Consider the following 18,136-nt stretch of genomic DNA (forward strand, 5'->3'; position numbering starts at 1 on the left):
GCATATAATTAGCTTGCAATTTTTTTTTTTTTTTTTTTTTTTTTTGGTCAATAAGTAGCATAAAAATACTGATTGAGGCTGTGACTCACACCTGTAATCCCAGCACTTTGGGAGGCTGAGGTGGGCGGATCACTTGAGGTCAGGAGTTTGAGACCAGCCTGGCCAACATGGTGAAACCCCATCTCTACTAAAAATACAAAAATTAGCCAGGCATGGTTGAGCATGCCTGTAGTCCCAGCTACTCGGGAGGCTGAGGAAGGAGAATCGCTTGAACCCAGGAGACAGAGGTTGCAGTGAGACGCGATGGCACCACTGCACTCCAGCCTGGGTGCCAGAGCGAGACTCTGTCCCAGAAAAAAAAAAAAAACTGATTGTTACGGAGAATAAATTTTAGCTGCAAGGTGTTCCAAGCAGGCTATTCAAAACATGTACTTATAACTTAGGGGTATAAAATTTATAGTAACCTGTTAGTGACTGCAAAATCTAATCTAGTTACCAGACCTTTGCTTCTCAAACTTAGGTGTACATAAGAAATATGTGAGGTGCCTGTTTTAAAAATGCAGGTCCTTGGCCAGGTGCAGTGGTTCACGCCTGTAATTTGGAAGGCTGAGGTGGGAGGATTGCTTGAGCTCAGGAGTTCAAGGCCAGCCTGGGCAACATAGTGGGACCCTGTCTCTATAAATAAAATTTTAAAAAGTGCCTGGCTTGGGACCATTCATAAAGAATCTGATACAGTGGCTGGGGGACACAGGAGCCAGGGGAGTTCGCAAAACCTAGGAACATACATTTTGAACACTACCCCCCCTGCCCCAGGTCATGCTGATGTAGCTAATTGAGCACTGGCTAGCCCATTCTCCCTACAGAGGCTCTTTCTTCCTTATTTGTACCCATCCATTCTCTTACCTGTGAGCAGACACAGGTGTGCACCCAAGATTATGAAATTTTGTTGAGCTCTTGGACTTCTCTTGGGCTAAGGCCACATGACAATCTACTCAGGAATAAGGTAAACCCACTCCAATCCAGCAAGTTACCTATCTCAGGAATTGCTAGTACTGGTTGAAGAGATGGATGCCTCTGGGCTAAGATAAAATGCACTATCTCATGGGTTCTCTACTTGATCCTCACTGCTCTATAGGGTGGGGCCTATGTGTATTTTATAGAGGAAGAAACTGAGGTTCAGGGAGGTCAGGGCACTGGCAAAGGTCATATAAGAAAGGTAAAGGCCAGGCCTGGTGGCTCAAGCCTGTCATCCCAGCACTTTGGGAGGCTGAAGCAGGTGGATCACCTGAGGTCACGAGTTCGAAACCAGCCTGGCCAACATGGTGAAACCCTGTCTCCACCAAAAATACAAAAATTAGCCAGGAGTGGTGGTGTGCGCCTGTAGTCTCAGCTAGTTGGGAGGCTAAGGCAGGAGAATCGCTTGAACCTGGGAGGCGGAGGTCGCAGTGAGCTGAGATTGTGCAACTGCTAGGAGACAGAGAGAGACTCTGTCTCAAAAAAAAAAAAAAAAAAGAAGAAGAAGAAAGAAAGAAAGAAAGAAGAAAGAAAGGTAGGGAACCAAGTCCCCAAAATTGTGTCTCCAGTCTCTAAGCTTGTTCTTTTCAACTCCTTGTCAAGAGTTTGGTTATATTGCCAGAATATGCAGAGATGGGTTAAGCATTTTACATTAAAAAAAACGACAACACATTACCTCTTGGTATTAATTTTCTATACAAGAGGAGATGATCTCAGTGTTCGCAGAACAGCAACTACACAGGCAATGATTAAAATTCTGAGAACACTCTCCCTCAGTCTGTCTTCAGACAATGCTTCCATCTTATGGTTAGGTATGAAAGTAGAAAAGTAATCTGGGGCCTGGTTCTCACACCCTCTGTCGCTGGCCTCCCTGGAGCTGGGTGGTGGCATTGCAAGGACTATTTACCAACAGGATTAGAAAAGTGATCTTCGCAAACCTCACTCTAGAATTTTCGAAACTGCTTTTTGTGCTTTTGGTAATGTATGAGTCTATTCAGCCTGCCACAACAAAAAGCCACAGAGTGGGTGGCTTAAACAACAGAAATTTATTTCTCACGTTTCTGGAGGCTGAAGTCCAAGATCAAGGTACCAGCAAGTTCAGTTTCTGATAAGGCCTCCCTTCCAGGCTGATGAACGCCTGTCATCTCACTGTGTCCTCACACGGCAGAGATAGCAGGAAAGAAATTTCTGCTTTCTCTTTCCCTTTCTTCCTCTTCTTTTTTTTTTTTTTTTTTTTTTTTTTTTTTTTTGAGATGGAGTCTTGTTCCCATCACCCGAGCTGGAGTGCAATGGCACGATCTCGGCTCACTACAACCTCTGCCTCCTGGGTTCAAGCGATTCTCCTTCCTCAGCCTCCCGAGTAGCTGGGATTACAGACGTGTGCCACCACACCCGGCTAATTTTTGTATTTTTAGTAGCGATGGGGTTTTGCCATGTTGGCCAGGCTGGTCTCGAACTCCTGACCTCAGGTAATCCGCACACCTCGGCCTCCCAAAGTGCTAGGATTACAGGCGTGAGCCACCGAGCCCAGGCACCTTTCTTCCTCTTCTTATAAAGCCACCCACCCTTATGGCTTCATTTAACCTTAATTACCTCCTAGAAGCCCGATCTCCAAATACCATCATAATGGGAGCTGGGGCTACAAAATATTAATTTGGTGGGGACCCAAAATTCAATCCATAGCAGATGGGTCCACTTATTTTCCAGGAAAGCAGCTTTGGACAGAGGCAAATAGGCAGCTTTTCTTAACTAAAGACAGAAAGTTCTATCTGAGAAGATGCCCTTCCAACCCTTTTCTCTTTTGGGGAGAAATGGATGCTTTATCAGGAAGTTAACATGTGTGATTACCAATCATAGGTGGGGGCCCAGGAGATTCCACGCTGCTGAACCTGGTTCCACAGCGCTCAGGCAGAGCTGTACACACGGTTGTATGTATGTGCACACTGCCCGGGGAGACACGCTGTAGCCACGATGGCTCCCCTGCTGTTTTGGGGACATGTCAGGCGAGCTCTGGCCTTAGGACTGACTTAGACTTGGTTCCCTGGAAGCAGAGCCTGAGCCTGGGGTTTTTGTGCAAAGATTCTTTTGGGAGAAGTCTAGTCTCAGCCTGATCCCAGGGGGAGCTCTGGAACATACATTACTTCCAGAGATGGTCCCTCTCAGGGGAAAGGGGATTGGACACTTGTCCCTGCCCCCATCAGTCAGGCATTGGTCCCCTCCCAGGCATGTCCAGGACAGGAAGCAGGTCAGGTCAGCCAAGGGCTATCCTCTGGAGAGGGGGACAGGTGTGAAGCTTTAGCGGACAACACCCCCGACCCCAACAACAGAGGGAGGGTGCCAGCGCTGCTACAGAGGAGCTCAGCGGGGCCCAGTTGCACCTACTATGGAGGAGCTGTTGCTCTAGCTGATCCCTCTGCCTGGGATGTTCTCCCCCAGATGACCTCATGGCCAACTCCCTCACCTCCTCAGAGCTTTGCTAAAATCTCACCTTCTTCCTTTTTTTTTTAGACAGAGTCTCACTCTGTAACTCAGGTTGGTTGGGGTGCAGTGGCATGATCTCAACTCACTGCAACCTCCACCTCCCGGGTTCAAGTGATCCTCATGCCTCAGTCTCCCGAGTAGCTGGGACTACAGGCACGTGCCACCATGCTCGGCTAAGTTTTGTATTTTTAGCAGAGACGGGGTTTCACCATGTTGGCCAGGCTGGTCTCAAACTCCTGACCTCAAGTGATCTGCCCGCCTCAACCTCCCAAAGTGCTGGGATCACAGGCGTGAGCCACCGCGCCTGGCCTTAAAATCGCACCTTCTCAATGGGCCCATCTTGGCCACCTTGTTGATGCAGAAACTGCACCCCCACCCACTCCCCATTACCGTCACCCGGCTCTGCTTCTTTTTTCCATAGAACTCATCACCTTCCAACACAGACTATTTATTTCTTTCGTATGTTTTTTTTTGGGGGGCGGGCATTGTTGTTGTTGTTTGTTTTTTTGAGACAGAGTCTCGCTGTATCGCCAGGCTGGAGTGCAATGGCACAATCTCGGCTCACTGCAACTTCCGCCTCCCAAGTTCAAGCGATTCTGTTGCCTCAGCCTCCTGAGTAGCCGGGATTACAGGCCCCCTCCACCACATCCGGCTAATTTTTGTATTTTTAGTAGAGACAGGGTTTCACCATGTTGGCCAGAATGGTCTCAATCTCTTGACCTCGTTATCTGCCTGCATCAGTCTCCCAAAGTGCTGGGATTACAGGCATGAGCCACCACACCTGGCCGGTGTGTTTTTTTTGTTTTGTTTTGTTTTTTGTCTGTTTTTTTTTTTTTTTTTTTAATATCATCTGTTTCTTCCCCCTTAGAATGAAAGCTCACTGAGGGCAGAGATACTGATATAGGCTTATCACCCAGAATAGTAGCTGAGATATCATAAGCACACCATGAATACTTGTTGAATTAAGTCTCAAAGGGGCCCTGACTCAAAGAAGGGAGTAGGTCAAGAACTCAGAGAAATAGATTACATAAAAGGTTACTAGCCAAGCCATTAGGCATGACTTGGGGCCTGCAGGAGGGGCACCACTACCTCGAGGTATAATATAATTTTTGGACCAGTGAATGCAAGGGTGTCATTACACTGTGCTTGGTGTGGCTGTTCAGAAGCCGTCCTGCCCTGCACAGCTGCTCTACTTGAGGACTTACTAAGGTTTTCCTTGACCTTCTAAAATAATTCTGCCTTATCCTCCCACAGAAGTCTCAGCTTGGGCAAGTAGTGACCACCCACCCCTATGATAATACCTTAGTTAGCAGAACTTTTCATCCAAAAATACGGAAATGCCAACATATGGAAACACTCAGATACCACAATGTTTCATAAGTACTAAGGGACGAATTTTTATAACTTCCTATAAGAGGCTTCCTAACACTCAAAAGTTGAGTGACCCCATCCACACCCACCTCCTGTCTGCCTTGCAAAGAATGTCTCTTAGACAAATCCTGAAAACTCATACCAAAAATATTATATCTTGCTAGCTTTCCCCCCAAATAACTCACAGGTAATTTTTTATTCTTTGCCTATACAAAATGGGCAAAGTATTTAGACAGATATTACCCCAAGAGAAAAAAACAGAAAATAACAAATATGTGAGAAAATCCACAATTTTACCCATAAAATGCAAATTCAAACAACAGTCAGATATTATCACAATCTATCAAACCAACAAGAATTTCTTGTCGTTGTAATACCAAAACTGGTAAAGCTGTGGTTAGGGTGCACATTCTGCAATGTGGGTGGAAATGTGAAGTGGTAAACCCTTGTGGAAAGCTACAAGGCTAGATCCTGAGATGCTTTGATATCTTCATCATCTTTGACCTTTCTTCTAGAGTCCCTGCTAGGACCTTATCCTACCAAAAAATCTGAAATGCAGGGGGAAAAAGCCTTTGAACCCAGCCATAAAGATTTTACGCAGGACTCACATGGCAGGAAGAGGGAGAGGGAGAGGTTACTTAGGTAAGCTAGCAACAGATTCTCTCAAAGTTTTTCTTTGGTTTAATGTTTTTTTGGTTTTTTGTTTTTGAGATGGAGTTTATTTATTTATTTATCTATTTATGAGACAGAGTCTTGCTCTGTTGCCCAGGCTGGAGTGCAGTGGCGCGATCTAGGCTCACTGCAACCTCTACCTCCAGGGTTCAAGCGATTCTCCTGCCTCAGCCTCTCAAGTAGCTGGGATTACAGGCATGCGCCACCACGCCCAGCTAATTTTTGTATTTTTAGTAGAGACGGGGTTTCACCCTGTTGGTCAGGCTGGTCTCAAACTCCTGACCTAACGTGATCCACCCGTCTCGGCCTCCCAAAGTGCTGGGTTTACAAGTGTGAGCCACGGCTCCCGGCCTGGTTTAACTTTTTATCACAAGGATAACTCTTGTCACATACACTCTGTGGCCCAACAAACAGAATACTGGCATTTAGTTTCATAATTGGAATTGCTGATTTGTCGTGTTTTGACAGTTGAATCATGTTTCTAAAACTCATATTTTCATGTTCCAAAAATTTCCCCTGTGCCTGGGGATGCAGGGCCATCATTTACTCCTTGCTGGATTCTTTAGCTGTTAACATAAAGCCATGGTAACAGCTATCTTATTTCCCAAATTCAAAAACTCAACATTCAAAACAATCATTTTCAAAATTCTCTGAATTCTCTTGTTACTTTTTCTCCTTGAACTTCACTCACTAAAAATCAGGACAAAGTACAGTGTTTTTTTCTACCTCAACTAGAATAAAACCCACATTTACGAATATTTTTCAGGTAAGATATTCACTCGTTAAAAAAAAAAAAAAAAAAACTGGCCGGGTGCAGTGGCTCACACGCTCACGCCTATAATCCCAGCACTTTGAGAGGCCGAGGTAGGCAGATTACCTGAGGTCAGGAGTTCGAGACCAGCCTGACCAACATGGTGAAACCCCATCTCTACTAAAAATACAAAAAAAAAATTAGCCGGGAGTGGTGGTGTGTGCCTGTAATCCTAGCTACTCGGGAGGCTGAGGCATGAGAATTGCCTGAACCCAGGAGATGGGGGTTGCAGTGAGCCGAGATCGCACCACTGCATTCCAGCCTAGGCAACAGAGCGAGACTCTGTCTCATAAATAGATAAATAAATAAAAATGAAAAATAAAAAAATAATAACTTCTACCTGTAAAACAAGGGCTCACCCCAAATGGGATTTAGGTTTTTCCTTTTTAATTTTTAGCGGGAAAGCTGCTTAGAAGGTTGCTAATAGCTTTCCGTTTCTGGAGGTGGCCTCTTTGGAGCTGACTTTATTTACTCTGGGAAAGTTAACAGAAACGGGCTTTCTAGTTACCCAAAGGTAAAGCAAATTCCCACCCATCAACCTTGGAGAAGCTGTGAAATCACATCCCATGGGGAGGCAAGATTGTTGGGAGGATTGGAGAAGATTCCATCCTAGGCCTGGATGCAGGAGACCTGCCCTCCCAGCTGTGGCATGAGAGGCCACCGCCAGGGGTGGCAGAGAGGGTGGGCGGATCCCTCACACTGCAGTGTCATCCACCAGGACCCGAGAAGGGCTCTGCAAGGCCGCCCTCCTCCTGCTAGGGGCCCTTCTCCCGCTCCCACCTAGGACTCGGGGAGCAGCTCTCGGGCCTCTTCCCAGGACACACAGGAGTTCCCGTCCTCAGATCTTGGTAAAGGCAGCAGGAGAGGGTGGAAATGTCCTGCTTTTGCGTCTTTGCCATAAAATGATGTCTAAGGGGTCTTCCTGCTCTAAAATTCTAAATTTCCATTTCAGTCAAGGCTTTCTGCTTATGGGGAAGAGAAACTAGCTCCAAGCAGAGACAGAGTAACCTAACCCTAAGGAGAGCTCAGCCAGGCAGAGTGGCTCACGCTGTAATCCCAGCATTTTGAGAGGCTGAGGCGGGTGAATCACTTGAGGTCAGGAGTTTGAGACCAGCCTGGCCAACATGGTGAAACCCTGTCTCTACTAAAAATATAAAAATTAGCCAGGTGTGGTGGCACATGCCTGTAATCCCAGCTACTCGGGAGGCCGAGGCAGGAGAATCACTTGACCCTGGAAGGCGGAGGTTGTGGTGAGCCAAGATCGTGCCATTGCATTCCAGCCTGGGCGACAGAGCAAGACTCTGCCTCAAAAAAAAAAAAAAAAAAAAAAAAAAAGGAGCACTGATGAAGAGTCTAGCTAGCCAGGCCTCAGCCACATGGAGCTGGGAACAAGGTTGTCAGGCAGAGGGTGGCTCTTCTCTGGGCCCTGGTCCTCTCTGGACGTTTCCTTCTGCTCACCTGTTTCTTTCTCTGCCCAGCGTCCTCTGCCTATTCCTGGTTCTCCTTGGCTTTGTCTTGCCATGGTGCTGACTCAGCCCTTGACTGCTCCAGACCCAGAGGCCCGGCTCCTCACTCTCCCTTAAGAGAGGATTTAGGCCCAGTTAGGTGTCCACGGCTGGTCCAAAAAGTTCTTGGCCGGAAAGCTTCAGTCATGGGATAGAAACACAGCCACCCAGGCACATGACTTGATTAGAGAGAAAGACAAGTGGACTTGGCAAGGGTCAGGACCTCCAAAACATCAACAGCAGTGTTGGTGGCAGCTCCTTTCATTCCCACTTTCTTCTATTACTTGGGTTTCATCCAAACCTCTCTGGTTCTCAGAGAAGTACGTTCTAGGGCAGGGTTAGACATGAGAGATTTATTGAAGGAAGTGTCTGTGCAGGAAGATGGGGAGATTACAGGAGGAGGCTGGGAGAGCTGTCAGGCCATGATGCAGGTCTGACCCTGGTGAAGGAGAGAGGGAAGGAAGGTGAGGTAGGAAGACTCTCAGCCTGCCGCACATTCTAACAAAGTTTGGGCAGGGTTGATAGACATCTGTCTAAGTCAGTTCAGTCTACTATAATAAGATACCATATACTGGGTGGCTTATAAACAACAGAAATGTATTTTCCACAGTTCTGGAGCCTGGGAAGTCCAAGGTCAAGGTGCTGGCAGATCCAGTATCTGGTGAGAACCTTCTTCCTGGTTTGCAGATAGTAGACTTCTCACTGTGTCCTCACATGGTAGGAGGAGCAAGGCAGCTCTCTGGGGCCTCTTTTATAAGGTCCTCACCTCATGAATGGGTGCTGATCCCATTCATGGGGGCTCTTCCCTTGTGACCTAAGCACCTCCCAAAGGTCCCACTTCCAAATACCATCACACTGGGGATTATGGCTTCAAGATATGAATTTGGGGCAGGGGCACAAACATTCGGTCCATAGCAGCATCCTTGAGGCAAAGTTCATCAGAGGAGTCCCACGTGTCACAGGAGTCATTCTGCCTTAGCAGCCCTGCTGTGCTTCGTCATTGGTTGGGAGCAGTGGTAAGAAATGTGGACACAGCTTGAATGTGGTGGTGGATTTAGAGCACAGCATCAAGGGCTGTCAGGTGATTGTATTTCCCCCAGCAGGAGATCTGAGAGATACAAGTTCAAGGTCAACACACAGGCTCTTTTTTATGAGGCAGGAGAAGGAAGGCACAGATTGGTAAGCTTGCAGGCTATGGAGTCCACAGGCTGGGTTGGAATCTGCCTACCTCTTACCCATCATGTGCACCTGGACAAGTTACCTGTCTCCCTGAGCCTCACTTTCTTCCTCTGAAATAATAATAATGGCCATACCTATAAAGCACTTACTGTGTGCAAGACACCGTTGTCAGTATTAATTCATTTAATCCTGGGGCACAGAGTTTAAGCAACTTGCCTAAGATATCAGAGGTGATAAGTGCTAGCATCAGAATTTGAACCCAGAACCCAGGCTACATTGTCTTTGTGAAGTAGAGCCAGCAATAGCACCAACACGACTATGCTGTTGTGAAAACTGAGAAGAGAACAATTGTAAAGCATTTAGCCTCACACACTGTATACATTCAATAAATGTTACCTGCTGTTACTGGCATTACTAATTATTATTATAGAAGGTACAGACTGAGTTTTTCTTTCTTTTTTTCTTTTTTTTTTTTTTGAGACGGAGTCTCGCTCTGTCGCCCAGGCCGGACTGCGGACTGCAGTGGTGCAATCTCGGCTCACTGCAAGCTTCGCTTCCCGGGTTCACGCCATTCTCCTGCCTCAGCCTCCCGAGTAGCTGGGACTACAGGCGCCCGCCACCGCGCCCGGCTAATTTTTTGTATTTTTAGTAGAGACAGGGTTTCACCTTGTTAGCCAGGATGGTCTTGATCTCCTGACCTCATGATCCACCCGCCTCGGCCTCCCAAAGTGTGAGTTTTTCTTTAGTGGTTTCGAAGATACACACTTTTCATCCCAATGGTCTCTTCTGACAATAACTAGTTTCCTTCATATGGTGGGGAAAATGGATCCCACTGTGACAATGTAAAGTGATCCCACCTGCAGACATTTGCCTTGCTTTGGCTCTACGCTCATCAGATGTCTTCTGAGGATAACGTGGTGTTCTGTGCACACTCCCAACAGGGTAAAGGGGACACACCATTGATAGCCTACCCAGCAGCCATTTCCTGCTTCTTCCTTCCTGAGAGAGACCCAGTTTCCTTTAGATATTATTCTGGTTATCTATTGCTGCATCACGAACCATCCCCAAAACTGAAAACAACAATTCATTATCCTGTCTCACAATTCCGTGGCTGACTGGGCTCAGAAGGGTGGTTCTTGCTTGGGGTTTCTCATGTGGTTGCAGTCAGATGGCAGCTGGGGCTGGGGTCATCAGAAGCCTCCACTGAGCTGGACATCCCGGGTGGCCTCTTCATTCACGAGTCCAGAACAGTGGAAACTGGCTCAGTATCTCGGTATCTCGGTAACTCTCTCTCTTTCTCTCCCTCCCCCCATCCCGTGTCGTGTGTGTGTGTGTGTGTGTGTGTGTGTGTGTGTGTGTGTCTTTCTCTCTCTTCTTGCTCTCTCTCTCTCTCTCACTCACTTGCTGGCTCTCCACACAGCCTCTCCACATGACTATCTTGGGCTTCCTCACAGCATGGTGGCCTCCCTGCAGTCGGGCTCTGTAGATGCTGGCTGGTTTATCACAGAGCAAGCATTCCAAGAGACTGAGAAGGAGCTGCAAGGCTTCTTGTAACCCAGTTTTGAACCTTGTGCAAAGACGCTTCCTCCGCATTTTATTAGTTACATAGAAGCAGCCCAGACTCAGTCCAGGGATTACCAGGAGGCATGGTGTGGCAGACTGGGAGTAAGGGGAGCTTTGGAGAGGAACTACCATGGATACCCCTTTCCCACTCAGCCACAGGCCTCTGGGGCAGCCAGCCTCACCCTCCAGCCTGAGGGTGAACAAGATGGGTCTAAAGGTGATGCCTTCCCCTTGCCAAGAATGAGCATGTGACCCTGTTTTGGTCAATGAGATATAAGGGGGATGTCTGCTGGGCTTCTGGGGAAGTTTTCACATTCCTAAGAGAGAGTCTTCTTCCTCAGGTCATGCTCGGATTTGAATAAGTTTTCTGGAGCTGCCCTGGGCATTTTCCATCAGCCTGAGGATGACACCATCCCTAAGAAGGGCAGAGCAGACAGGTGGAAAGACCCAGGGCCCTGGATGCCACAGTGTAGCCCATCCACAGCCAACCCTGAAGCCCACCCTACTTTGGGACTCTCTGTTATCTGAAATAAGCCAAGACCACGTCTCTCTCTCTCTATATATATGTGTGTGTATGTGTATACATATATACACATACATACATATATGTGTGTGTATATATATACATATATATCACTCATATATATACACACATACATATATGATATATATGAGTAATATATATGTGTGTACATATATATGAGTGATATATATGTGCATATATATGATATATATAGATATATAGATATGTATGATATATATAGAGATATATCATATATATATAGATAGATATGTATCTATATATATATAGATATATATATCACTCAGGCTGGAGTGCAGTGGTGTTATCACAACTCACTGCAGCCTCAAGCTCCTGGGCTCAAATGATCCCACCTCAGCCACCCCTTAGCTCTCCTATGCACAGAGGGCTGTACAGTAGATGGCTGTCTGAATTTGGCCTGCGGGCCATATTTCGCTGATCCCTGGTTTAAAATGTCAAGGAGTAAATACTGCTGACACAAGATGCTGACTTAAGGCTGCTTGTCCCTCTAATCCCCACTGTAAATTATCATTATAATTATCCACTGATGCTCAGGTTCGCAAATCTGCAGATTGTAACTTAATTTAATTCTTGCTTGAGTGAGAGGATGAGTTTACCTTAAGCTTAAAAGATGGTAACTTTTAAGATTAAGGTAATGGGTGTGAGGTGGGTGCTGGGCTTCTGTAAGAGAAGTCAAGACTTGTAAGGAGAAAAATATTCTTACAGCTTAATAAGGCAAAGGAGAGTCACTAGCAAGAATCAAAGTGCTTATTGCCTTTTAGATACTTCCCCAGTACCCCACTTCCTGACCAAACCACAAAGGTCACTTCCTCTTGCCTCCAATACACACACCTTTAACTGAGAAACCTTAATCGGGGTGGGGATCATGTTGGTCACCAAGGAGATGGGACCTTGAGGGAAGAGAGATAAAAAGAAGTAAAGAAGTCTGGGCATGGTAGCTCATACCTGTAATCCCAGCACTTTGGGAGACCGAGGCAGGCAGATCACCTGAGCTCAGGAGTTCAAGACCAGCCTGACCAACATGGAGAAACCCTGTCTCTACTAAAAATACAAAATTAGCCGGGCATGGTGGCGCATGCCTGTAATCCCAGCTACTTGGGAGGCTGAGGCAGGAGAATCACTTGAACCCAGGAGGCAGAGGTTGCAGTGAGCTGAGATCATGCCATTGCACTCCAGCCTGGGCAACAAGAGCAAAACTCTGTCTTAAAAAAAAAAAAAAGAAGAAGAAGAAGTAAAGAAGGCCAAGCGTGGCGGCTCATGCCTGTAATCCCAGCATTTTGGGAGGCCAAGGCAAGTAGATCACTTGAGGCCAGGAGTTCAAGAACACCCTGGTCAACATGGCAAAACCCTGTGTCTACTACAGATTAAAAAAAAAAAAAAATCATCCGGGCATGGTGGCACACGCCTGTAATCCTAGCTACTCAGGAGGCTGAGGCATAAGAATCACTTGAACCCGGAAGGTGGAGGTTGCAGTGAGCCAAGGTCATGCCACTGCACTCCAGCCTGGGTGACAGAACGAAACTATCTCAAAAAAAAAAGAAAAAGAAGAAAAGAAAATAAAACAGGTGGGGAGGGAGAGACTGTGTAAGGGAGAGGGTGTGGCCTACTCCGCCCACCAGGGTGTGATTAAGGAATGTACCTCCATGGTCTGGGCAGATCCAGGCCCTAGGGAAAGCTCAGGGGTAAGTTGAAAAGACCATGGAAGCCACTCCTGAATCTCCACCTCAATGTGGACTCTGTAAGGGCTGGGCCAGATCTCTTAAGCCTGAAGCAAAGGACAACTGAACATTTTCCAAGGTCCTTCCTGTGCTTCACAGGCTAGACCGTTCTGCCCTGGACTGGACTGTCCCACACTTCCAGGAGAACCCCATGCTCTGGGGTCTCCCTGGTGTTTGGAGAAGCCATTTATCCATGCAGACAATTTGACAAAATGAAGGGAGATATGCAAGGATTTCTGAGGAAATTTTAGCTGTGGGGAAGCTTCATAGAAACTGAGGTCCAGTGTGCACTTTGGGATCGAAATATTTCCTTATTGAAAAGAAGAGGCTCGGAGACAAAAAGCCGGAGTGCGTGGAATGTCACGTGCCACGCAGAGGTGCCAGTCCTGGAGCCCCATCTCTGCAGGAAGCTGTGTCCCTGGGTGGCTTCTCCTGATTTGGGGACCAGCCTCTCAAAGGCAAAGTGCCTGGGCGTTCAGATTTGCAGAGCAAGTTAGAAAGTTAGACAAATCGGTGTTCCCATTTTTGGCCCTTATAAAGACAAAATGTCAACTTGATACTAAAGCAAAGACCCATATCTCATGGCATACGATATTTATTTATTGATTGAATCAAAATCAGATTCCACTGCTGCATACTGTCTGGTTCTGCTGTACGAGAACGCAGTAGTGGTTAGATATGCTGCAGAGCTATTCATATCTCGTGAGTCATTGGAACAGTGCGTTTTGAAATGGTGTCCCTTCACTTTCTGTTTAGGGGGAAAAGAGGAAATAGTTCTATGACAACAGCAGTATTTTCTAATATTCTAGGTTTATTCTAATTTTTTATTTATTTATTTTTTTTAGACAGAGTCTTGCTCTGTCACCCAGGCTGGAGTGCAGTGGTGCAATATCGGCTCACTGCAACCTCCGCCTCCCGGGTTCAAGCAATTCTCCTGCCTCAGCCTCCCAAGTAGCTGGGATTACAGGCACCCACCACCATGCCCAGCTAATTTTTGTATTTTTAGTAGAGACAGGGTTTCGCCATGTTGGCCACGCTGGTCTTGAACTCCTGACCTCAAGTGATCGCCTGCCCCGGCCTCCCAAAATGCTGGGATTACAAGCATGAGCCACCATGCCCTGCCTATTCTAATATTTCTAATTGTAATTTTGGAGTTATGATTTTTTGGGGGGGGGCTATGATTTTTTTGGGGGTTATGATTTTTTTAATTCGAAATTTCTCCCACCTGCAGATACTATTATTTAGAGCAGAGCTTAACTTACTCAGAAGTTCATGAGATCTCAGATCCAGAAACTTTTCCCAAGAAGCTTGGACATGGATTGCTGGTAAACACAAAAACTGCATGGAGGGCAGAGCAGCCGGTTGACTCCCCCTTGTCAATATCTTAAAGTGGAAAAGCTTGACTTAGTGACTGTCATTTTGTCTGCGCAGCCCTGGTCTTTTCTTAGGCTTGCCTGCTTGTATTAGTCTTGGGTGGCGAGTGAAGATAATAGCTCAGTGTAAACTAGCTTAAGTGACCTGCGGGACTGTGTTGGCTCAAGTCCTGGTGGGGAGAATAGGGCTGGGCTAGTTGCAGGACTGGCTGGAACCAGGGACTCTAACTCCATCAGGGCTCCTGGCTTCTCATCTCTACTTCTCTCTGTAGGATTGTTCCATTGTTTTCAGACTGGCCTTTTCATGAGACAGGGGACACAGCCACTAGCAGATCTAGATCTAGATCCTTAGACTTCACAACCAAAGAAGAAAAGGGACCCTCTCCCCTGGATCCACTTTAAAAATTCCTGTGGAGGATGGTGACTGAGAAGCGTTCCTATGCCTACCCCTGGGGCCAATTTGTTGCAGGAAGGGATGGAGAAATACCATTAACTAGCAGGAGGGTATAATCTGTTACCAAAAGAAAGGTGGAAGGCTGGGCCCGGTGGCTCATGCCTGTAATCCTAGCACTTTGGGAGGCCAAGGCGGGTGGATCACTTTAGGTTAGGAGTTTGAAACCAGTCTGGCCAACATGGTGAAACCTTGTCTCCACTAAAAATACCAAAATTAGCCAGTCAGGTGGCACGCATGCCAGTAATTCCAGCTACTCAGAAGGCCGAGGCATAAGAATCGCTTGAACCCGGGAGGTGGAGGCTGCAGTGAGCCAAGATCTCACCACCGCACTGGCGACAGCCTGGGCAACAGAGCGAGACTCTGTCTCAAAAAAAAAAAAAAAAAGAAAAGAAAAGAAAGAAAGAGAAAGAAGGAAGGAAGGAAGGAGCGGGGAGGGAGGGAGGGAGAGGGAGATTGAGAAAGAGAGAGAAAGAAAGAGCGAGCTAGCCAGGCCAAACAGAAGATGTGTTCTGCCTGTCCCTTCTGGGAGCTGCCCCTTCCCCTCCATCCAAAGGAAGCTGTCCTGGAAGACTGGCCTGCCCCTTTGCCACAAGGATTCTTAGATACGGGCACCTGCTGGTCCATCAGAGTCTTCTCCCAGGAATTGAGAACTGGAGCTCAGAGGCGCCAGCTCTGTTTGGCTGCTTGTGTGTACTGAGGAGCTTTCAGAGGAGCTATTTCTTTACCTCGAGGATGGGAGAACCGCGAAACACAAATGGCTGGGCCACAAGACAAGAGAAGAAGGAAGCAGCAAGCCATGGAGAAGCGGATGCAAAGGGCTGAGCACGCTGGCTGATCTGCATCCTGGTTGCAGTGATTCCTGGGATCCAGCCACATCTCTGCTGCCAGTCTCTGCAGCACACTGAATCCAGACAATAACCCCCCTTTTTCCCTTAAGGTAGCTCATATTGCACTTCTTTTGCTTGCTATCAAAAACATTCTAACTGATACACAATCTCAACCTAAAACAGTCTCAGCCCTCATAGCCTGACACACAGCCAGTAGCATGGTGAAGCAGGTGAGTTCTGGCACCAGGCTTCCTTGACTGTATCTTAGTTCTGCTTCTTCCTAACTTGTGACACCAGACACGTTGCTCTGCTTCTTCCTAACTTGTGACACCAGACAAGTTACTTTTTTTTTTTGGATGGAATTTCACTCTTGTCTCCCAGGCTGGAGTGCAATGACACAATCTTGACTCACTGCAAACTTTGCCTCCCAGGTTCAAGTGATTCTCCTGCCTCAGCCTCCTGAGTAGCTGGGATTACAGGCGTCTGCTATCATGCCCGGCTAATTTTTTTGTATTATTAGTAGAGACGGGGTTTCACCACGTTGGCCAGGCTGGTCTTGAACTCCTGACCTCAGGTGATCTGCCCGCCTCACCCTCCCAAAATGCTGGGATTACAGGCATGAGCCACCATGCCTGGCCAAGTTATTTAACTTCTATATGTCTATTTCTTCATCTCCAAAAAGGAAATATTAATATACCTACATTATCGTGTTGTGAGAATTAAATAAGTTGATCCACGTAACACAGTGCCTGACATGTAAAAATCACTCCATAACATTAACTATTATTTGTAGTGGGAGATTGCAGTAGTGCCTAGGAGAAATTTTATCATCTCTTTAAAGATCAAAGAAACAAACCAAGGAAGATAGCCTCCCCACCTCCACCACGGATCACATTCCCAGCTTGCTAGAGGTGTCATGTTGAATCCTCTGGCCGGCATTCCAGACACCGGCTGCCAATATGCAGAGGAGATAAAGATCTCCAAGAAAGTTGAAATGTTACTAAAATGCTTGTACTGTAGTATAAGGATAATAACACTTCCTCAGACATCATTTTAAAAGTATGAAATTTGGCCAGGCATGGTGGCTCACACCTGTAATTCCAGCACTTTGGGAGGCCGAGGCGGGTGGATCACTTGAGGCCAGGAGTTCTAGACCAGCCTGGCCAACATGGTAAAACCCCGTTTCTACTAAAAATACAAAAATTAGCCAGGCCTGGTGGCAGGCACCTGTAGTCCCAGCTACTCAGGAGGCTGAGGCAGGAGAATTGCTTGAACCTGGGAGGCAGAGGGTTGCAGTGAGCTGAGATCGAGTCACTGCACTCCAGTCTGGGCAACAGACTAAGACTCCATCTAAAAAAATAACAAAATAAAAAATAAATAAATAATATGAAATCTGCCAGGCAAGGTGGCTCATGCCTGTAATCCTAGCACTTTGGGAAGCTGAGGCAGGAGGATTACTTGAGCCCAGGAGTTTGAGGCCAGCCTGGGCAACTTAGTAAGACCCGGTCTCTACAAAAAAACAAAACAAAACAAAACAAAAATTAGTCCCAGCTATTTGAGAGGCTGAGGTGGGAGGATCGCTTGAGCCTGAGAGTTTGAGGCTGCAGTGAGCCGTGATCGCGCCACTGCACTCCAGCCTGGGTGACAGATCAAGACCCTGTCTCAAAAAATGAAATAAAATAATATGAAATCTGAGTGTCAACATATATACGGAGTGAAGGACATGACCTGCATGTGGTTTAATCTATGTACACAGAGATTCTTTATAATGAAAATTTCCTGCCGTGTGCATATATGTGTATACACAAAAGCAACGACCCTAAAAAAAAAAACAAAGAAAAACAAGGAGCAAAAGAGCCAAGTAACATATGCCTATAAGGGGGCATTGTTATTATCATATTAAGAAATGAGGTTTGGACCCGGCACAGTGGTTCACGCCTGTAATCCCAGCACTTTGGGAGGCCGAGATGGGCGGGTCCCTTGAGGTCAGGAGTTCGAGACCAGCCTGGCCAACATAGTGAAACCCTGTCTCTACTGAAAATACAAAAAATTAGCTGGGCATGGTGGCAGATGCCTGTAATCCCGGCTACTCGGGAGGCTGAGGCATGAGAATTGCTTGAACCCAGGAGACGAAGGTTGCAGTGAGCCAAGATGATGCCACTGCACTCCAGCCTGGGTGACAGAGTGAGACCTTATCTCAAAAAATAAAAATAAATAAATAAATAAATAAATAAGGTTTGGAAGGCTCAGTGGTGTGTCTGGAAACCTGTGTTAGTTGGTTTCTTGACTATCCTTTGGTTTACTCTAGCAGCTATCGGGTTTATACAGCAGTTAACACAGTAACACAGTTAACTTAGTTTATTTTCACTTTGAGTAATATAATTTTGGGAAGAGCTGAAAAGGAGTGGAAATAAAGAAAGACTAAGATAATTTTTTAAAAGAATAATAGGAAATGAGATTTTAAGAATAAAAGCTAGAGAAAAACCAACAGAAGATAATTGAATCCCTTTGGTACTGCCATCAGGCCGGCTCTTTGTACTTTATGTTCCTTGCACCCATAACTGATACGTGTTCCAATCTCCCTTCCTAGAGTGAATTCTTTGAAG

The 18,136-nt window shown here is 46.5% G+C and overlaps 1 annotated feature.

Annotated features, from left to right (window-relative positions):
• Positions 13,651-13,845: a silencer, noted in NCBI's record as "fragment chr2:234151441-234151635 (GRCh37/hg19 assembly coordinates)". NCBI's record gives its function as "represses an EF-1alpha promoter that drives an FKBP-Casp9 reporter gene in an ReSE screen in K562 erythroleukemia cells {active_cell/tissue: K562}" and the evidence as "EXISTENCE:reporter gene assay evidence [ECO:0000049][PMID:32094911]".

The sequence above is a fragment of the Homo sapiens genome, chromosome 2 (assembly GCF_000001405.40).
Source record: "Homo sapiens chromosome 2, GRCh38.p14 Primary Assembly".
In the NCBI taxonomy this organism is placed as follows: domain Eukaryota; kingdom Metazoa; phylum Chordata; class Mammalia; order Primates; family Hominidae; genus Homo; species Homo sapiens.